Source organism: Homo sapiens, chromosome 22, assembly GCF_000001405.40.
Source record: "Homo sapiens chromosome 22, GRCh38.p14 Primary Assembly".
Taxonomy (NCBI): Eukaryota; Metazoa; Chordata; class Mammalia; order Primates; family Hominidae; genus Homo; species Homo sapiens.
In genome coordinates, this window is record NC_000022.11 from 28,771,923 (window position 1) to 28,793,542 (window position 21,620).

Sequence of the window (21,620 nt, forward strand, 5' to 3'; positions counted from 1 at the left end):
GTGGCACGATCGCGGCTCACTGCAACCTCCGCCTCCCGGGTTCAAGCGATTCTCCTGCCTCAGCCTCCCGAGTACATGGGATTACAGGCGCGCACCACCACACCTGGCTAATTTTTTATATTTTTGGTAGAGACGGGATTTCACCACGTAGGCCAGGCTGGTCTTGAACTCCTGACCTCAAGTGATTCGCCCACCTCGGCCTCCCAAAGTGGTAAGATTACAGGCGTGAGCCACCGCCCCCAGCCAGCAGCTGAGGTTTTTACTTAATTTTCTATGCTGTTCTAAGGCACCACCAACTTCATTTGTATTAAAATTGTTACATTTTTATTAATAGAGTCACATATGAATAACTGATAATGAGCGTGTATTGTATGTCAGGCACTGCTTTAAGGGCTCTAGATTGTTTTTGTTTTGAGACAGGGTCTCCCGGGCTCAAGAGATCCTCCCGCCTCCACCTTCCAAATTGCTGGGATTACACGAGTGAGCCACCGCCCTGCCCTGGCTCTAGATGTTTAAATTCATGTACTCCGCACATCAACTCTATGATTATATGTACTATTATTATCTCATTTTACTACTGTGGAAACTGAGATACGAAACTTGCGGAGTGAGGATTTGAACCTAGGTCATACTCTTGGCCAGCCAGAGACACCCTAAGCCCCAGCTAAGAGGTCGAGAAGCAGCCATTTTGCTTGTAGTCCGGAAGGACTGCAAATCCCGGCATCCCTCGCGGCAGCGGCCCTCTACACACAACAAATCCCGGCATGCCCCCGAGCGGCCTGAGGTGGAGGGTTCTAGAAGGCGTGACGTGGGGTCGAGAGCGGGATCCGAGGCTGGCGGGTTTTGGCAGTAGCTGTGGCTGCGGCTGCCGGGCCTGGGGACGCGGGCGGCCGAGGCCGCCGTCGCAGCCTCCTCGTCTCGCCGGCTATGGCTGCGCTCGGCCGGCCCTTCAGCGGCCTCCCTCTGAGCGGCGGCTCGGACTTCCTGCAGCCGCCGCAGCCGGCCTTCCCCGGCCGGGCCTTCCCGCCGGGGGCTGACGGCGCCGAGTTGGCCCCGCGGCCGGGACCTCGCGCAGTCCCTAGCAGTCCCGCTGGGAGTGCGGCGCGCGGACGGTGAGGAGCCCGTCGGGCGCAGGGCGCAGGGCGGGCGGGCGGGCGGGCAGGCTGGGCGCCCCTCGCGGCGGGCGCGGGCAGGGGCGCGGGCTCCGCGCCGGGGCTTTTTGACTCCCTCCCCACGGCCCTCCGCGGGAGCTTCGCAGCCCAGTTTACAGATGAAGAAACTGATCCCCGGAGACGTTAACTGTAAGTCGCCGGGGGTCACATAGCCCAGGAGTCCGGTCCGAACCTCAGCTCGACTGCGGCCCGGAGAAGTGAGACTTTCCCAGTTGGAACCTGGGCGACTCGGTCTGGGTGCCCCCTCGGCGCGGCCGCTGTTAGTGACAACTTTCAGTGTCTCATCTGCAAAGTATGCCAAGCATGGGACAGAAATGGGTCCTCTTAGTGAGATTATTTAAATAAAGTGCTTAACACAGCGCCTGCCCCGAGGACGTTTCCCTGGTTTGGTCCTCCCTAATCTGTCTTCCATTACGTTGATAAAAGGACAAGTTGAGATTTCACTGTCCAGTTCTGTCGGGGCAATCCACCGTTACCCGACTGACCTGTGATTTGTACCCATCCCACTAGGCTCAGAAAGGGACGTTTGGTATGTGGGGATGAGCAAGATTATTGGAGCAAGAAAGAGGATACTGAAACCACAAGCTCGAGTACATTTCTTAATTGACTGATTTTTGTTTGTTTCAACAGTGTTTCTGTTCACTGTAAAAAGAAACACAAGCGAGAGGAGGAGGAGGATGATGAGTAAGTTTCAGTGGTTGTTTATTCACTCTGTGGTCACCGTTAGTTGAACCCCTGTTATAGTCTAAATTACTTAAGTGAAAAGGTGAAACATTAGATGAGTGTCTCTGGAAAGAGACACAGAAATTAGTGACATTGGTTGTCTTTTAGAGAAAGTAACAGTGGCAGGCAGACAGGTCAGAGGGAAACTTTTCGCTCTATAACAAGTTGTAATATTTGGATTTTGAGCCATGTTAATATTACATGCACAAAGTAAAATAATTTAAAGGATACATATTGAAAAGTTTTGTTTTTGTTTTTTTTTTTTTTTGGGACGGAGTCTGCCTCTGTCGCCCAGGCTGGAGTGCAGTGGCGCTATGTGGGCTCACTGCAATCTCCGCCTCCCGGCTTCATGCCATTCTCCTGCCTCAGCCTCCCGAGTAGCTGGGACTACAGGCGCCCGCCACCACGCCTGGCAATTTTTTTTTTTTTTTAGTAGAGACGGGGTTTCACTGTGTTAGCCAGGGTGGTCTTGATCTTCTGACTTCATGATCCTCCCGCCTCAGCCTCCCAAAGTGCTGAGATTACAGGCCTGAGCCGCCCCGGCCTGAAAAGTCTTTTTTTTTTTTTTTTTTTTAAAGTCAGGGGCTCTGTCACCCAAGCTGGAGTGCAGTTGTGTGATCACAGCTCACTGCAGCCTCAAACTCCTTGGGCTCAAATGATCCCTCAGCTTCAGCCTCCTGAACAGCTGAGACTACAGACTTGTGCCACCAGGCTCAGCTAATTTTTTAAAAAATTTTTTGTAGAGATGGTGTCTCACTATGTTGCCCAGTCTGGTCATGAACTTCTGGCCTCAAGCAGTCCTCCCAACTCTGGGATTACAGGTGTGAACCGTCCCCCAGGCTGTATTACAAAATCTTTTACTCCACACCCCTAGTTTTCCCCACCAGAGACAACCCCCTTACCTGTTTTCATTGTCTCCTTTAGAAGATAATCTAAAAATTTACCAAGTTCACAAGTGTTTTTCTTTTTCTTTCTTTTTTTCTTTTTTGAGACAAGGCCTCATTCTGTCAGGCTGGAGTGCAGTGGCTGTGTTTTTACATTTGTAGGAAGATATGGTTCACACTGTGCAACACATTGATCTTTTCATTTTACTCTTCTGTAGCTTGTTGCATATCAGCACATAGAGAGAGGTTTACGTAATTTCTCTTTCAATAGTTGAGTGGAGGCCAGGCGTGGTGGCTCACACCTGTAATCCCAGCACTTTGGGAGGCTGAGAAGGGCAGATCAGGAGGTCAGGAGTTTGAGACCAGCTTGGCCAGCATGGTGAAACCCCATCTCTATTAAAATACAAAAATTAGCCATGGGTAGTGGTGCGTAACTGTAATGCCAGCTACTCAGGAGGCTGAGGCAGGAGAATCACTTGAACCCGGGAGGTGGAGGTTGCAGTGAGCCAAGATTGCGCCATTGCACTCCAGCCTGGGCAGTAGAGTGAGACTCCGTCTCAAAAAAACAAAAGAAAGTAGTTGTGTGGAATTCTATCGTAGGACTTGGTGTAGATAATTAACCAATTTCCTATTGATGCATTTCTAAATTATTTCTAATCTTTTGCTATTACAATCTACCCTGACCATTCTTTTGAAGTTCTTTGTATATGTTTGGAAGTATATGAATGATTTCCTTGACGTGGAATTGCTGGGTCTTAAAGTGTGTGCATTTTAAATTTTGAACGTGAGTTTTTGCCAATTTATATGCCCATTAACATCCTCTGAACACAAGTGTGTTTTTAAACTTCGGGATTGCTGCCCAACTAATAGATGAAAAATTATATCTCATAAACAGTCTAATAGAAAAAGAAGTAAGGCCAGGCGCGGTGGCTCACACCTGTAATCCCGGCACTTTGGGAAGCCGAGGCAGGTGGATCACGAGGTCAGGAGTTCAAGACCAGCCTGACCAATTTGATGAAACCCCGTCTCTGCTAAAAATACAAAAATTAGCCAGGTGCGGTGGCAGGTGTCTGTAATCCCAGCTACTCGGGAGGCTGAGGCAGGAGAATCGTTTGAACCTGGGCGGCAGAGGTTGCAGTGAGCCGAGATCGTCCTACCGCACTCCAGCCTTGGTGACAAAGTGAGACTGTCCCAAAAAAAGAAAAGTAAAAAGGTTTCCCAAAGATAATATCCATGAACAACCAAATAAAAAAGCGTTCAACCTCATTAGTCTTTAGGGAAATGTGTATTAAAGCCACAATGAGATGCCACTCTACCTCCAGATGTTGGGATGCGTGTGAAGCACCAGGAACTCTTAAATATGGGTAGGAGTGTAAATTGGGACCATTAGGATCATTAGGCATCCACATTAAAGTCCTGATTTGGCATCCGGTGTGGTGCCTCATGCCTGTAATCCCAGCACTTGGGGAGGCCAGGGTGGGTGGATTGCTTGAGCCCAGGAATTCAAGACCAGCCTGGCCAAAATGGTGAAACCCTGTCTCTACTAAATACAAAGAAATAGCTGGTGTGGTGGTGCGCCCCTGTGATCCCAGCCACTCCAGAGACTGAGGCACGAGGAGAAGGCAGAGGTTACAGTGAGCCAAGATTGTGCCACTGCACTCCATCCTAGGTGACAGAGCAAGATTAGATTACCATTTTGGGATGCTGGCAGTATTGTATATCTTTTCTTTTTTTTTTTTTCCCTGGAGTTTTGCTCTGTTGCTCAGGCTGGAGTGCAGTAGCGCAGGCTCAGCTCACTGTCACCTCTGTCTCAGGTTCAAGCGATTCTCCTGCCTCATCCTCCCAAGTAGCTGGGATTACAGGCGCGTGCCACCATGCCCAGCTAATTTTTTTTTTTTTTGAGACGGAGTTTCGCTCTTGTTGCCCAGGCTGGAGCGCAATGGTGCAATCTCAGCTCAGCACAACCTCTCCCTCCCAGCTTCAAGCAGTTCTCCTGCCTCAGCCTCCTGAATAGCTGGGATTACAGGCATGTGCCTCCATGCTTGGCTAATTTTGCATTTTTAGTAGAGATGGGGTTTCTGCATTTTGGTCAGGCTGGTCTGGAACTTCCGACTTCGGATGATCCTCTCGCCTTGGCCTCCCAAAGTGCTGGGATTACAGGCGTGAGCCACCGCACCCAACCAATTTTTTGTATTTTTAGTAGAGAAATGGTTGTGCCATGTTGGCCAGGCTGGTCTAAAACTCATGACTTCAAGTAATCTGCCCGCCTTGGCCTTCCAAAGTGCTAGGATTACAGGCGTGAGCTACTGTGCCTGGCCAGTATACTGTAGCTGTTTTTTTTTTTTTTTTTTGAGATGGCATCTTGCTCTGTTGTCCAGGCTGGAGTGCAGTGGCGCAATCTCGGCTCCCTCGGCACAACCTCTGCCTCCCGTGTTCAAGTGATTCTCCTGCCTCAGCCTCCCATGTAGCTGGGACTACAGGCGTGTGATAATTTTTTGTATCTTTGGTACAGACGGGGTTTCACCATGTTAGCCAGGATGGTCTCAATCTCCTGACCTTGTGATTCGCTCGCCCGCTGGCCCTGGCCTCCCAAAGTGCTGGAATTACAGTTGTGAGCCACTGCGCCTGGCCTATTCTATATCTTAAATTATATTGTCATCATTGTTTGTTTTGTAATTATTTGTTAAGCTGTATGTTTGATGTAATTTTATGTTTGTAGAATTTTATAGTTAAAAAGGTTAAAGAAGTTTAGATTGTGATTTAATTTATATTTGTTAATTATAAGTGATACTGGACATCTTTTCTTTTTTTTTTTCTTTTTTTTTTTGAGATGGACTCTTGCTCTGCCACCAGGCTGGAGTGCAGTGGCACCATCTTGACTCACTTTAACCTCCACCTCCTGGGCTCAAGCGATTCTCCTGCCTCAGCCTCGCGAGTTGCTGGGACCACAGGCTTGCACCTCCAGGCCCAGCTAATTTTTATATTTTTAGTAGAGATGGGGTTTCACCATGTTAGTCAGGATGGTCTTGATTCCTTGACCTCATGATCCACCCGCCTCAGCCTCCCAAAGCTCTGGATTACAGGCGTGAGCCACTGCTCCTGGCTGTTTATGCAAATTTTCTATTGGCTTATTGATCTTTTTCTTATAGGAATTTTTTTTTTTTTTTGAGATGTATCCTCGCTCTGTTGCCCAGGTTGCAGTACAGTCGCACGATCAGGGTTCACTGCAACCTCTGCTTCCTGGGTTCAAGCAATTCTCTCAGCCTCCCGAGTAGCTGGGATTACAGGTGCGTGCCACCACGCCCGGCAAATTTTTTGCATTGTTAGTAAAGGCAGGGTTTCACCCTGTTAGCCAGGATGGTCTCTATCTCCTGACCTTGTGATCCGCCCGCCTCGGCCTCCCAAAGTGGCCTCGGCCTCCCAAAGTGCTGGGATTATAGTCGTGAGCCACCACGTCCTGCCAGGAAATCTTTATTAAGGAATGTTTTCTTCAAATTTATCCTTTGTCTTTTAACTTTGTGTATGATTCTTTTTGCCATTGGACACTTTGGATTTTCTAAACTTGTTGATACATAGATTCATAAAACATTAAATTTGAAAGTTCCCTTAATTTAAAAATCACTAGGTCGGGTGCGGTGGCTCATGCCTGTAATCCTAGCACTTTGGGAGGCCGAGGCAGGCAGATCACCTCAGATCAGTAGTTTGAGACCAGCCTGGCCAACATGGTGAAACCTCTTCTCTCTTAAAAATACAAAAGTCAGCCGGGCGTGGTGGTGCGCACCTGTAGTCCCAGCTACTCGGGGGGCTGAGGCGGGAGAATTGCTTGAACCCAGGAGACGGAGGTTGCAGTGAGGCCCACTGAACAGAAAATATTTATGTTCTTTATTGCCTTAGGATTACTGTGGATAACACAGGAAACTTTTTGCTTTTATCTTTTGCGGTTCTCTCTTAAGATGTTATTATAGATGCTAAAATAAATAAATAAAAAGTTTAAAGTATAGAAACTATCGGCTTAAAAAGTTAACCATCTTTAATTTACAAATGGAGAAGTTGAGGCCTTGGGAGGCAGTGGGATGAGATCTTTGGATGTCTAATGCCCAGAAGCGTGCTATCATATTATCTTTGGGACTTAATTATCAGTGATCTCTATTTAGAAAGTGGACCTACAGGCATGAAATAACTTAGTCTAAATCATGTTGTTGGAGGTCAGAGCGCAGAACCCAGGTGTTAAACTTTATTTGCATTTTATAGTGGAATTATTAGATGTGTGGGGAAATTACCTGTTCCCTTTAGATTTATTTTGCTTTTTGGGGATGTGGACTCTCACTGTGTTGCTCAGGCTGGTCTCAAACACTGGGCTCAAGTGATCTCCTCCCTCAGCCTCCCAAGTAGCTGGAACTGTAGGCACACACCACGACACTCGCCTTATTCTGCTTTTTCTTAGCTGTTTTTTGTAAGTATAACTATTTTCTGCTTTTCAAAATATCACATACTTTATTTATTTATTTATTTATTTTTGAGACGGAGCCTTGGTCTGTCGCCCAGGCTGGAGTGCAGTGACGCAATCTTGGCTCACTGCAACCTCCCCCCTCCTGGGTTCAAGCGATTCTCCTGCCTTGGCCTTCCTAGTAGCTGGGATTAAAGGTGCGTGCCACTGCGCCCAGCTTTTTTTTTTTGTATTTTTAGTGGAGACGGGGTTTCACCATGTTGGCCAGGCTCATCTCAAACTCTTGCCCTCAAGTGATCCACCTGCCTCGGCCTCCCAAAGTGCTGGGATTACAGGCATGAACTACCGTGTCCGGCCTAAAATATCCCATATTTTAAAACTATTGAAATATGACAGAAATGTTAGATATAGCTGAACATTCTTAATGCTTTCTTAGGAGTTAAAACTAATTATAAACCAAACATTTTGTTTAATAGTTGACTGCATTAAAAAAAATCTAGGTTTGAGAGATCTGTTACTTGTCAGATTTTATATTGCCAGAGACTTTAATGTTGGTTTTCACAGTCTTAACATGGAATAGAAATTTCTTTTTGTAAAATACATGCCTCTTCTTTGGCCCTCAGTTTAAAGAATCAGAGGCTGTGGTAGCCATTAATGATTTTTTTTGGTTATAAAGCTGTATTCTGGCCTTGAGACTGTACTTGCTGATGCCCAGGCAATAAAGTACTTTTGGTCTACGTACATAATAGAACAGGGCCGATTGACTATTCAGCTTGCTTCAGACAGCTTTCAGCTAAACACTGGGTATATCGTAGTGCTTGCAAATACTACTTGGTGGTAAGCACTTGAACAGTTGAACCTCCCTAAGAAGGTACAGGGAGTTAGTAAAAATGGCATGGAGATATGATTCAGCAGCTCTTGTGTCTGGTCCTCAAGATAAACTCACTACTTTACGGTGACACTTTGGAGAAGCCGGGTTAGTTTTTCTAGGTCCTAGTTTCCAAATAAAAAAAAATGGATTTGATGAATTCTAAAGTTTCTATGAAATACAAATTTGTTCAGGATGTGAAGACATTATGTTGCAAAGTGGGAGAAAATTGGACCCCACTATTGGTTGGACACTGATAGAGCCTCTGACATTTTGAAGGGGACCAAGAAATTAATGCTGTCACCCACACCTGTAATATTAATACTTTGAACAAACCTCATGAGACATGTTTTTGCCCTAAGGGAATATAGAATGGCTGCCAGACCATCTTCCTATATGTTTGATGGAGCAGTAGCAGTATGACTAAATATGATGCTGAATTGCTGACTTTTGGTTTCTTTTTTTCATTCATTCATTCATTCATTCATGGTTTGAATTAGCGTCTCACTATGTTGCCCAAGCTGGTCTTGAACTCTGGGCTCAAGTGATCTTCCCACCTCAGCCATTCCAAGTGCTGGTATTACAGGTGTGAGCCACCACACCTAGCCAACTTTTGGTTTCTTTACTTCCCACTTGACCTTTCCAGAGCCAAATAAGCAGGAATGACTTTAAGGTCCCACATTGAACACTTACTGTCTGAACAGGCAGAATCTTACAGGTGCATCTTTATTTGGCAAAGAGCAGTAGAAGAAAACAGTTTAGTGTGGCTGTGAGAATAGCAGGAAAAATACGCAGTATTTTCCATCTTGTTACTACACACTTGTCAAAAAAGCTAGTTTTTTAAATACAAAAACTTGATTGGAGATAGGAATGATAAACATTTCATTTATATTAGTTGGGATTTTCATTGAATTTTTTTTCTTTTTTTCAGTTGTCCAGTAAGAAAGAAAAGGATAACTGAAGCAGAGCTCTGTGCTGGTCCTAATGACTGGATTCTTTGTGCACATCAGGATGTAGAGGGGCATGGAGTAAATCCCAGTGTTAGTGGCCTTTCCATACCTGGGATATTAGATGTTATTTGTGAAGAAATGGATCAGACAACTGGAGAACCACAGTGTGAAGTTGCCCGAAGGAAGCTTCAGGAGATTGAGGACAGGTAAATGGGCAGTGTATATAGCTGGTTTTTTGCTGTTCTCTTGTAATAACTCTGCTCATATAAGCTAGTTCTGTTTATCATTTGGTGATACCTTGATCCTTAGCCTCTCAGAAAGACTAAGTCAGATAATTCAAAGTGTATTCGTTTTTGTTTTTTTGTTTTGTTTTTTTTTTTTTTTTTTTTTTTTTTTTTTTTTGAGACGGAGTCTCGCTCTGTCGCCCAGGCTGGAGTGCAGTGGCGGGATCTCGGCTCACTGCAAGCTCCGCCTCCCGGGTTCACGCCATTCTCCTGCCTCAGCCTCCCAAGTAGCTGGGACTACAGGCGCCCGCCACTACGCCCGGCTAATTTTTTTGTATTTTTAGTAGAGACGGGGTTTCACCGTTTTAGCCGGGATGGTCTCGATCTCTTGACCTCGTGATCCGCCCGCCTCGGCCTCCCAAAGTGCTGGGATTACAGGCGTGAGCCACCGCACCCGGCCTGTTTTGTTTTTTAGATGGAGTTTTGCTCGTTACCTAGGCTGGAGTGCAGTGGTGCCATCTTGGCTCAATGCAACCTCCACCTCCCGGGTTCAAGTGATTCTCCTGCCCCAGCTTCCCAAGTAGCTGGGATTACAGGCATGCGCCACCACGCCTGGCTAATTTTGTATTTTTAATAGAGATGGGGTTTCTCCATTTTGGTCAGGCTGGTCTGGAACACATGACCTCAGGTGATCCCCCTGTCTCGGCCTCCCAAAGTGCTGGGATTACAGGCGTGAGCCACACCACCCAGCCCCCCCCCTTTTTTTTTTTTAAATTGATACAGGGTCTTGCTTTGTCACCCAGGTTGGAGTGCAGTGGCTCACTGCAGTCTTAACCTTTCAGGCTCAACCCATCTGCCCCCCTCAGCCTCCCAAGTGGCTGGGACTGCAGGCATGTGCCACCACCCCTGGCTAATCTTCGTATCTTTTGTAGAGACGGGATTTCGCCATGTTGCCCAAGCTGGTCACGCATTCCTGGGCTCGAGCAAGCCGCCTGCCTCGGCATCCCAAAGTGCTGGGATTACAGGCATGAGCTACTGTGCCGGGCCAGTCTACTGAGCCTTTTTTTTTTTTTTTTTTTTTTTTTTGAAACAGTGTTGCTCTGTCACCCAGGCTGGAGTACAATGGTGTGAACTCGGCGCTCACTGCAACCTCCGCCTCCCAGGTTCAAGCAATTCACTTGCCTCAGCCTCCTGAGTAGCTGGGATTACAAGTGTCTGCCACCGCACCTGGCCAAATTTTTTTTTGTATTTTTATTTTTATTTTTGGAGACAGAGTCTCGCTCTGTTGCTCAGGCTGGAGTGCAGTGGTGCGATCTCAGCTCATTGCAATCTCCACCTCCCGGGTTCAGGCGATTCTCCTGCCTCAATCTCCTGAGTAGCTGGGATTGCAGGTGCCTGCCATCACACCTGGCTAATTTTTGTATTTTTAGTAAAGATGGGGTTTCACCACGTTGGCCAGGCTGGTCTCGAACTCCGGACCTTGTGGTCCGCCTGCCTCTGCCTCCCAGAGGGCTGGGATTACAGGCATGAGCCATTGCACCCGGCCTTTTTTTGTATATTTAGTAGAGACAGGGTTTTGTGATGTTGGCCAGGCTGGTCTGGAGCTTCTGGCCTCAGGTGATCTGCCTATCTCAGCCTCCTTAAGTACTGGGATTACAAGTGTGAGCCACCACGCCCGGCCCCGAAGTATGTGCTTTTAAAGTGAATTCTTCTCATAGAACTACTGAGCGTTTTCACTTACTGCCTCTGAGTATTAATTTTGGTTTATGTGATAATTCTCTGAAATATTATTCAGATTTGATTATATGTAAAACTTTTTCGTTAAATGAAATGTTGAACAACCCTCTGAGTATAGTTTTTTTTTGTTTTGAGACGGAGTCTTGCTCTGTTGCCCACGCTGGTGTGCAATGGCACGATCTTGGTTCACTGCAACCTCCGCCTCCCGGGTTCAAGTGATTCTCCTGCCTCAGCCTCCTGAGTAGCCGGATTACAGGCATGTGTCACCACACCCGACAAATTTTTCTATTTTTAGTAGAGATAGGGTTTCACCATGTTGGCCAGGCTCTTCTCGAACTCCTAACCTCAGGTGATCTGCCCGCCTCGGCCTCCCAAAGTGCTGGGATTACAGGTGTGAGCCACCACACCCGGCCTGAGTATACCTTTTATACTCAGGTATAGCCTCATTTTTTGCTTGTTCTATTGCTGTATTACTTACTGCTTTTATCCTTTTTTATTTTTAAAATTTTGTCCAAATACTAGAATATATAATAGCTTGACTAAATATTTTTTCTTTCTTCTGCTGCCTTAATTGATTTAGGATAATTGATGAAGATGAAGAAGTTGAAGCTGACAGAAATGTTAACCATCTCCCCAGTCTTGTCCTTTCTGATACCATGAAAACAGGTTTGAAGAGGGAATTTGATGAAGTTTTTACAAAGAAAATGATTGAGTCTATGTAAGTTTTGGTACCTGATTTCTATTTAATTATGATCTTGGAGGGAAGACCCAATGTCTAGATTCTGCCCACCCTGTCCTCATTAGCTCTTTTTATCTCCTGATCCCCAGGCAATTGGAGATTGGCTTTTTCCTAGTTCATTAGGGGTGAGCAAAGTGCTTTACAAGCAGGAGTTTGAAGTATGGGGAAGTGGCTGCCTTGCCTACTTACTCTTTGGTTCCTTTGAAGACCTGAAATGGACTGCAGTCTGCTATTTGGAAATGAGATGACTGGCAAGAGAGCCCACTCTCAAGTTCCTGTGATACAGGAACCACATTTTAAAGGCTCTTGTTTACCTGGCTTTCTAAGTGACCCAGGAACAACACTGCGGCCTAGGAAAAAAAATAAAGTGGCCCAACAGTGAAAGCAGTTGCTGCAAAGACTGCAAAACAAAGCTCATATTCTTGGCTCATAGCATAGTCCTTCCAGGCCTTTAGCAGAACTGTTTTGCTCTTAATCTAAACACAGTTTATGAGCTCAGTTATCTGGTTTCCTAGATCATCAGAGTAGAAGCAGAAACAGCAAATGAGAGCAGAACAAACAAAACTCCTAACAGGGAGCTGTGACTACACTGTGAGGACAAGAGAGGAAACTGGAAAGCAAACACAATAACCTAAAAAGTAAAGTGGCCTGGGGCCCCTGAGTAATGATTAGCCCAGCTCTAATCCTGTAGTCCGTGAAGCCTCCGTGATCTCAAATTGTCATTATTCACTATGTAAAATAGTAAGGAAGTTAGTTATAAAGTGCCTAGGAAAGACTTTAGATCGAGTTGGCACTCAATAAGGGCAAGTTTCAGGTATCTGAAAAAGCCTCTTAGGACACCAGTCAGTGAGGGCAGATAGGTGAGGCATTATTACCTTTGGATACAGTGGAGATGATTTGTGCTAGAAGTTCAGCTGCTATTTGGTCTTTGATCACAGAGGTTTTGCATTAGGGTCCTATCTTGAGCTTATAATTAAGTACCCATCCCTAAGGGTGGGTAAATAGCCAGAAGTAAGCTGGTCACGTTGCCCTCCAGCCTAAAATATAGCACTTTCTGCTTTTGGTAGTTTTCCAGAAGCTAGCCTTTGAGGGTATCTCGTTTTTTTTGTTGTTGTTGTTGTTGAGATGGAGTCTCGCTCTGTTGCCCAGGCTGGAGTGCAGTGGCCTGATCTTGGCTCACTGCAAGCTCCGCCTCCCGGGTTCACGCCATTCTCCTGCTCAGCCTCCCGAGTAGCTGGGACTACAGGCGCCTGCCACCTTGCCCGGCTAGTTTTTTGTATTTTTAGTAGAGTTGGAGTTTTCACCATGTTAGCCAGGATGGTCTCGATCTCCTGACCTTGTGATCCACCCTCTTCGGCCTCCCAAAGTGCTGGGATTACAGGCGTGAGCCACCGCGCCCAGCCAAGGGTATCTCATTATTTTATGTTTTATTTTTGCTTCGTCTTTGGGCCCATACACCATCCCTGCCACAGTGTGTGTGTAACATAGTCATTTTGCCTTAACCATGAAGCTTGTTTTGTTTTGTTTTGTTTTGTGTTTTGAGACAGGGTCTCACTCTGTCACCCAGGCTGGAGTGTAGTGGCATGATCACAGCTCACCACAGCCTTGACCTCCTGGGCTCAGGTGATACTCCCACCTCAGCCTCCCGAGTAGCTGGGACTACAGTCACCTGCTACCACACCCAGCTAATTTTTGTATTTTTTGTAGAGACGGGGTTCACCACATTGCCCGGGCTGGTTGCAAACTCCTGGGCTCAAACCATCTGCCTGGCTTGGCCTCCCAAAGTGCTAGGATTACAGGCATGAGCCACTGTGCCTGGCCCATAAAGCATTATACTTTGTACCTATACTAAAAGGCATCTGAGATACTTTCAGCATGTTTGTCCAGTGTTTCCTTTTCATTTATAATGATTTAGTATGAGCTAGCTGCCTACATGTAATATTAACCACAACTTAAAAAAATTTCCAACAATCAAGGGCTCTGCGTTTTCATATTGGATTTTTAAATACTTCCAATCACAGCATCATTACAACCACTTGATTTGGTTAAATATACATGTTGAAGTGTGCAATGTTATGTATTTGAGGGGCCTTTCTAAAGATCAGTTGGAGCCAGGCATGGTGGTATGTGCCTGTAGTCCTAATTACTGGGAAGGCTGAAGTGGGTAGATTGCTTGACCCCAGGAGTTAAAGGCTGCGGTGAGCTATGACTGTACCACTGTACTCCACTGTGGACAACACAGCAAGACCCCATCTCTTAAAAAAAAAAAAAAAAAGAAAGTAAAGATCAGTTTGTGTGTTCTAAATCTCCTGTTTTGCTATCATCAGTCCTTAAGATACTAGGTAATGTTGGCTTTTCAACCTACAGCTTTTGTTTTCATGTCCTAAAATTTTTTGATAAAAGTCTGTATTTTATGTCTTAGGAGCCGTCCTTCCATGGAGCTTGTTCTCTGGAAACCCCTCCCTGAACTCCTTTCTGATAAGCCAAAGCCATCCTCTAATACTAAGAACTATACAGGAGAGAGCCAAGCTAAGCATGTAGCTGCTGGCACTGCCTTCCCTCAGAGAACTGAACTGTTTTCGGAACCTCGGCCAACAGGGATGTCTCTTTATAATAGTTTGGAGACAGCTACTAGCACAGAAGAAGAGATGGAACTCTAGAAACCAATTTCTACACTAAAGTTGTCAAATGTTAGAAGAATCCTGTGTTCAGTTATGAGACTCTTTGCATAGTATAGGGACTTGAAAGTTTTATGAGACGGGTGTAATAATATCTCCACCTGTGATTTGGGGGTGGGACTCTTATTTTGGGTAGCCATTTATTGACTTCACCTTTTTGCCAAGGACGTTTGTCTCAAGGGAAAAGCAGTTTTCTGTGGGGCTTATTAAAGGAATGTTGGTTTACATTGTCTTCAAAGACAAGTATAGAAGCTGTATGTGTAAGGGTGACTTAAATCATATGTCACATTGTCTAAACTATTCAGACACTTGGAGAATATTCTCCTTGAATTAAAAAAGATGATTAAGAAGGATGCTCCTACAACTGTATCCTGACAGTTAAGTCACAGCTTAATGTGTAGATATGAGCTGTTTACAGTGGTGACTATATATAATTGGGGAGAAGAAGGGAAGAGAGCAGCAGTAGCTTAAGCCTGTTGCTAAGAAATTTAATTTCTTAGCAACTTGTAATTTAGTTATCAATTCAATATAGCTCTGTTGATTAAATAGCCGATAGTATTGTGGCTCTCCTCTTTGACTATGAAAATATAGAGAAAGTTTTTTCTTTAAGGCTTTTTTGCCTTGTGCCACTGTTGCTCCTTGGTTTCCCTTGCGTAATTGATAAGCCCAGTTATTCAGTAATGTTTACAAATTAATTGACTTTGATAGTTAAAAGATTATGAGGTAACCCATCTGCAATTTGCCTGTGGGAGAAGCATCCTTTAGTTCATCTTAAGGAAGTGCTTTATCAGCTAAACCCAACATTGATAACTTTGGTAATTTTTTTAAAAAGTTATACTTGTATTAGCAAGTTTTTTTTTTTTTCCCCCACCGCAACCTCCATCTCCCGGGTTCAAGCAATTCTCCTGCCTCACCCTCCCAAGTAGCTGGGATTACAGGTGCCCACCTCCACGCCCAGCTAATTTTTGTATTTTTAATAGAGACCGGTTTTGCCATGTTGGCCAGGCTGGTCTCGAACTCCTGACCTCAGGTGATCTGCCCACCCCAGCCTCCCAAAATGCTGGGATTACAGGCGTGAGCCACGGCACGCAGCCAGCAAGTTGTTTTTAAATGTTAATATAGAAAACAGTGAAGGATTAGCTGAAAATATATGAGCAGGTGACATTGAGGTTTACTGAAATAGCCAATTTGACTGGTGCTTAGACTATTGTGCAGTAAACCTAAAAGGTAGTGGAGAATTGCTTCCTGCTAGCAGGAAGCCTTCATCTTCTTGAGTACCCAAACCAGGCTTCAGGTGTCCTTTGAGGATAGCCAGGTTTGAAATTTTTAGTTTCTCAGGAAGAGCTCTTCTATGTGGCAGGGGCTGATAGGGCAAAATAAAATGACAATTTCTTTATTGCTACAGAGTATCCTCTATAAGTTATTAAACGAGTGTAATGGTATAATGCCCTTCCATCACACAACAGGACACCACCCCAGTTTTGTTTTCTGGGTTTCTTCCCCCTTTGTAGGAATCAGATACCTTTTGTAGAAAAAAATGGCTTATGCCACGTAAAGGTGAATTTTTAGAAACCACCTTCTAGGCGTTTTTGGAACCCTTACTGAAATCCCTCCCCTTGTTACAGATGGCGTAGAAGTCACAAGTCTGTTAATTGGACTGTTGCTTCTTTGCCTGTTCCTGCTTTCTCTTTCTGTCTGGATAGTCAGGAAAAGATTTAATGTTTAATATTTAAACAAAATATTTAATGTCTATACAGTAAAATTATTCAAACTTCAAACCAGTATTGAAAGCAGTTGGAAACCAGCTAATAGTTTCTTAATCTCAGATTTCGAGATGAATGTAAACTGTATTCTTTTGAAATGTGCAAGTGTTTGATTCATGCCATTTGATAAACTTCTGCCTTGTAGTCATTGTTTGATGGGACCAACTTGTAAAGTATGAGCCTTAAATAAATCTCCATGCTGAAAAATGTGTTCTAATGCAACACAAAAACATGAAGTGACTGCCCAGAGGTAGAGTTAGTGTTTAGGTGGAAAGGGAGATGACAGCTTTCCAAAGAAGGACCTAAAACACACCAAGATTGTCTTCTACAGGAATTGCTGGGCAGGTCTCCGACTAAAGGTCTTATGATGAAAAGGAAGAAACAAGCCCCCAACACAAGGCTCTGATACTACTGGTAAATGTAGGAGAGAATTAAGAATCTGTTAATTAAAATCCAAACAGAGCTTATTTCAGTAGTCAAGTTACCTGACATGATAATTATTTCTGCAGGATAATTGATGTTTTATGTTCTTTTTTGGACTTTATCTTCTTGCAAAAATTTCTACAAAAATTGTTTTCTTCATCCTTGTGGTGCTTATTCATCTGAGCCGTCTCCACAGTCCCAATGCCTCTGCTTTTTGTTTTACTTTTGTAGCATAAGGTTTTTGCTTTTGCTTTGCCTTAAGAGTTCCCTAGGGAGTTACCAGGGCTTTTCGTTTTGTGTAGCTTTTGCAGCATGGATCAAACATTGGCTTACTGTGCTAATGTGTGAAGAGAAAAAATTCTCTAAAGCAGGTGAGCTTTAATGAACAAATGTGTATTTTATCTGAGTTTGAGTAGGGTGCGTTGTGGATTTTGTTTTTTGGGTTTTTTTTTTTTTTTTGTAATTATATGAAGAAAGTCCAGTTCTCATAAATATTGATCACTTAAAAAACTTACTCTTTCTTGAAAAGGTACACATGTAAAATTTAGGAAAATAACTAAAGTAGGGGCTGGAACCATAAGAAGAATGTTTATCAGCACGTTCATTTATTATTTTGGATTTGGAACTTGGCTTTGTTTTTCAATAGTGACAAGAATGGTTCAGTTCTAGGAATGTTCTGGAAGATGCTGTTAATTTTACTTTAAAATGAGAATCTGGTGTTACTGTATTTTATCGTTTTCAATAAAACTTCTTAAGTGTTTTGGACTTTTGAGATATTTGTATTACTCCACTTAAATAATGAAATCAGATATCTCCTTTCCTCTGAATTGTAGTTGAAGCAGCATTCATATCAGTGAAGGACTTAAATTTATCCTGAAGGGATGATTATGTTGGGATAAAGCTAAGTATCATATTTGAATTAGCTGTTCCCACAATAGGCAGGCCATGTGTTGCTATTCTAAAACCCATAGACTGCTTTCCACTCAGAGCAGTTCACTGCTATTGTTAGTATTTAGATGGCAGTGGTAACTGTGTATTCAAAAATGTTAAAATGGGCTAGGTACGATGGTGCACACCTGTGCCAGCACTTTGTGAGACTGAGGCAGGAGGATCACTTAAGCTGAGGAGAGACCAGCCTGGACAATATTAGCAAGACCTTTTCTCTTAAAAAAAAAAAAAAAGTATATATATATATATTCAAATGTAGAGTTGGAAGTGGCATACAGAGTTCATAGAGAGGGGGTTGAGGATCTTTGAAAATGGGGAATGGAAAACCCAGTGATGTTCACTTACATGGTGTTTTCTTTTTTTGCGTGTGAGACGGAGTTTTGCTTGTTGCCCCGGCTGGAGTGCAATGGCGTGATCTTGGCTCACTGCAACCTCTGCCTCCCGGATTCAAGCAATTCTCGTGCCTCAGCCTCCTGAGTAGCTGGGATTACAGGCATGCGCCACCACACCTGGCTAATTTTTGTGGGTTTTTTGTTGTTGTTGTTGTTGTTTTTGAGACGGAGTCTCGCTGTTTCGCCAGGCTGGAGTGCAGTGGTGCAATATCAGCTCGCTGCAACCTCCGCCACCCAGGTTCAAGCGATTCTACTGCCTCAGCCTCCTGAGTAGCTGAGACTGTAGGCGCGAACCACCATGCCCAGCTAATTTTTCTTGTACTATTAGTAGAGATGGAGTTTCTCCGTGTTTGTCAGGCTGGTCTCGAACTCCTAACCTCAGATGATCTGCTTGCCTCGGCCTCCCAAAGTGCTGGGATTACAGGTGTGAGCCACCATGCCCAGCCGTTTCCTTTAAGACTTGACAGGTCACTGGGTGGCAGTATTGCCTGCATATTTACATTCTTTGATAAATGCATTCCTGATTTGGTGGGCAGGAGGAGTTAAGTTTGGGATACAACTACAAAAAGCAAAGCATGGTGGGTTTTTTTTTGAGATGGAGTCTTCCCTCTGTTGCCCAGGCTGGAGTGCAGTGGCACAATCTCGGTTCACTGCAACCTCTGCCTCCTGGGTTCAGGCGATTCTCCTGCCTCAGCTTCCTGAGTAGCTGCGACTACCGGCATGTGCCACCACGCCCAGCTAATTTTTGTATTTTTAGTAGAGACGGTTTCACCATATTGGCCAGGCTGGTCTCGAACTCCTGACCTTGTGATCCACCCACCTCAGCCCCCCAAAGTGCTAGGATTACAGGTGTGAGCCACTGTGCCCGGCTGCATGATGTTTTGTTTTTAATCAAAATTTGGAAATCACAGCTAAAAATGATCTAATTACAGGTTTGGAAACTAAAGCCTAAGTAGATCGTGTCATCCTGTTCCTCGGGTCAGTGTTCTTTCCACTTGACCAGTTGGTTTTAGAGTCTTTGCCGATCTAAGATGTCATTTAGATTTTGTTGAAATAACTGATAATATAGTTCAAGCAGTCTAACATTAAACTCCTTGAGGAAACATGGTTTAGTATGTATCAGTTTGGTACAAATCCTATAGCTGTGTTAATTCCCTAGTTCCTCAGACTACCAGTAGCATCTTAGAGATGAAGTAGTTGTAATTAGAACAGTGTTTGGATTATAGCTCCAGCAAGACAATGATGTTTGGTTGGGTGCAGTGGCTCATGCTTATAATCCCAGCATTTTGGGAGGCTGAGGTCGGAAAATTGCTTGAGTCCACACGTTTGAGACCAGCCTGGACAACACAGTGGGACTCTGTCTCTATAAGAAATTTAAAAATTAGGTGTGGTGGCTGTTCCCAGCTACTCAGGAGGCTGAGGGGGGAGGATGGCCTGAGTCCAGGAGTTAGAGGCTGCAGTGAGCCATGATTGCGCCATTGCAGCTCAGCTTGAGTGCCAGTGAGACCCTGCCTCAAAAAAGACTGATGTTTTCCTTCAACAACTGGTTGGTTGGGTAAACAAGCCAGTCTTCCTATTGCTTTTTTTTTTTTAATGTATTTATTTTTTAGAGATGGGGTCTTGCTTTGTTGCCCAGCCGGTCTCGAACTGGGCTCAAGCCATCCTCCCACCTCAGCCTCTCAAAGTGCTGGGATTATAGACGTGAAGCACCGTGCCTGGCCCAGTCTTCCTGTTTCTTAATGAACTTTATGTCATAAGAGAATTGAATTCTTAGGAGACTGGAACGTGACTGATTATTTTAAAGTGTGCCTGGAGTAAGCAGTATTACCTTCTGCCTACAGTTCTGTCCCTACTTTCTCTCTGCTCCAATAACATATCTAGTAGAAAAGCAAGGAGGGGGCCAGGTGCAGTGGCTCACGCCTGTAATCCCAGCATTTTGTGAGGCTGAGGTGGGTGGATCACTTGAGGTCAGGAGTTTGAGTCCAGCCAGGCCAACGTGGTGAAACCCTATTTCTACTAAAAATACAAAGATTAGCTGGGTGTGGTGGCATGTGCCTATAATCCCAGCTACTCAAGAGGTTGAGGCAGAATTGCTTGAACCCAGGAGGTGGAGGTTGCAGTGAGCCAAGATCATGCCACTGCACCCCAGCCTGGGCGACAGAGCGAAACTCAGTCTTTTTTAAAAAAAAAAAAAAAGAGAAATAGATTGGTGTGACAGGGCCTAGGGAAATGGCATGCAGGCATCTTACCACTTGCCTCTTCAATCTGAGACAACCCTCTGCATTTAATGGAACTCTGGCTTTGGTTTTGTGGGAATATCTTGATTTTTGGTTCTAACCATTCAATTTGGTGTTTCAGTATGAAAATGTCCATGAATACCAGGTGTTTTCTCAAGGCTGTTTAGTAATTTCCACCCATCTGTGCAGGAAATGAAAACCCTGATAATTTACACAGGTTATATATGTCCTGTCCTGTTAGTACAGCTGCCTCTTTCATGTGGTATCATTGAATATAAATAACTTGAGCCTCAACCTCCAGATGCTTGTGCTATAATGATAGAGGATAAAGTACATCTGTAATTACATCTGCCTATACAATTCCTAAATAGGTTCTTGGCCCTAAGGTTTGCAGAGTTATAGAAAATCAGGTGAGATAAAGTTTTCAATCATGGGGTCAGCTGGAGGCTGTTCTTATATACAGAACCTTTTTTTTTTTAGGCAGTCTTGCTTTTTCACCCAGTCTGGAGTGCAGTGCTGCGATCTTGGCTGACTGCAACCTCTGCCCCCTGGCCTCAAGCGATCCTCCCACCTCAGCTTCCTGAGTGGCTGTGACCACCAGTGCACACCACCATGCCTGGCTATTTTTTTTTACTTTTCATGGAGAGACGGGTTTGCCATGTTGTCCAGGCTAGTCTTGAACCAAGCAATCTGCTGGCCTCGGCCTCCCAAAGTGCTGGGATTATAGGTGTGAGCCACCATGCCTGGCCTGTTTCTGAAGAAACTTAAGAGCCTAAGCAAGTTTGTATTGCTGAGCACCAGGATTGGGCCCTGGCTTCAACGACCGGATCTTGAAGGCAGCTAGCTGACTTGCCTCCAGTCACTACATGAAAGGCATTCTATTTTTTTTTTTCTTTTTTAAATGGAGTTTCGCTCTTGTTGCCCAGGCTGGAGTGCAATGGCACGATCTCGGCTCGCTGCATCCTCTGCCTCCCGGGTTCAAGTGATTCTGCCGCCTCAGCCTCCTGAGTAGCTGGGATTACAGGCATATGCGCCACCACACCCAGCTAATTTTGTATTTTTACTAGAGATGGGGTTTCACTATGTTGGTCAGGCTGGCCATGAACTCCTGACCTCAGGTGATCCGCCCACCTCAGCCTCCCAAAGTGTTGGGATTACAAGCGTGAGCCACTACACCTGGCCTACACCAAAGGTATTCTATAATCCACTTTGCCTTGCTGCTTGGGATTCTCTGAATCCTGCCTTTTTTCTACTCATTCACTTTGACCTCCCCAGAGTTAGTCTTTGTAAGTTGGGAACATAGCATTTAAATGCTAAATTGGCATAGAATGATTTCATCTACTGGCATAGGTGAAATTTTTATAAATAAGTAAAGTCCTGTAAAACCTTGTAAGATTTCCAAGGAAAAGATGCTATGAAGGATGAGGAGGTTATC

General features: G+C 44.7%; 1 protein-coding gene across 4 annotated transcripts, besides 6 other annotated features; it reads left to right on the plus strand.

Annotated features, from left to right (window-relative positions):
* Window positions 551–1,052: an enhancer, noted in NCBI's record as "H3K27ac hESC enhancer chr22:29168461-29168962 (GRCh37/hg19 assembly coordinates)". NCBI's record gives its function as "activates a minimal SCP1, AML or CMV promoter by ChIP-STARR-seq in primed H9 embryonic stem cells {active_cell/tissue: H9 hESC(primed)}" and the evidence as "EXISTENCE:reporter gene assay evidence [ECO:0000049][PMID:30033119]".
* Window positions 551–1,185: a biological region, named in NCBI's record as "H3K27ac hESC enhancer GRCh37_chr22:29168461-29168962".
* Window positions 586–815: an enhancer, noted in NCBI's record as "active region_18807". NCBI's record gives its function as "activates an Ori minimal core promoter by ATAC-STARR-seq in GM12878 lymphoblastoid cells {active_cell/tissue: GM12878}" and the evidence as "EXISTENCE:reporter gene assay evidence [ECO:0000049][PMID:35858748]".
* CCDC117 (coiled-coil domain containing 117) lies at window positions 773–17,379 on the plus strand. Of its 4 annotated transcripts, none has more exons than NM_173510.4 (5): window positions 773–1,112; window positions 1,803–1,856; window positions 9,026–9,250; window positions 11,586–11,723; window positions 14,167–17,373. In NM_173510.4, exons 1-5 carry the CDS (start codon window positions 928–930, stop codon window positions 14,402–14,404), a joined length of 840 nt encoding a protein of 279 aa, NP_775781.1. In that variant the 5' UTR covers window positions 773–927; the 3' UTR covers window positions 14,405–17,373. The 4 variants fall into 4 exon arrangements, with proteins under 4 accessions (NP_775781.1, NP_001271193.1, NP_001271192.1 ...); NM_001284265.1 differs by lacking the exon at window positions 773–1,112 and adding an exon at window positions 1,215–1,301 and having other exon boundaries at window positions 14,167–17,379; NM_001284264.2 differs by lacking the exon at window positions 9,026–9,250.
* Window positions 886–1,185: a silencer, noted in NCBI's record as "silent region_13580". NCBI's record gives its function as "represses an Ori minimal core promoter by ATAC-STARR-seq in GM12878 lymphoblastoid cells {active_cell/tissue: GM12878}" and the evidence as "EXISTENCE:reporter gene assay evidence [ECO:0000049][PMID:35858748]".
* Window positions 9,800–10,300: an enhancer, noted in NCBI's record as "H3K4me1 hESC enhancer chr22:29177710-29178210 (GRCh37/hg19 assembly coordinates)". NCBI's record gives its function as "activates a minimal SCP1, AML or CMV promoter by ChIP-STARR-seq in naive H9 embryonic stem cells {active_cell/tissue: H9 hESC(naive)}" and the evidence as "EXISTENCE:reporter gene assay evidence [ECO:0000049][PMID:30033119]".
* Window positions 10,301–10,801: an enhancer, noted in NCBI's record as "H3K4me1 hESC enhancer chr22:29178211-29178711 (GRCh37/hg19 assembly coordinates)". NCBI's record gives its function as "activates a minimal SCP1, AML or CMV promoter by ChIP-STARR-seq in naive H9 embryonic stem cells {active_cell/tissue: H9 hESC(naive)}" and the evidence as "EXISTENCE:reporter gene assay evidence [ECO:0000049][PMID:30033119]".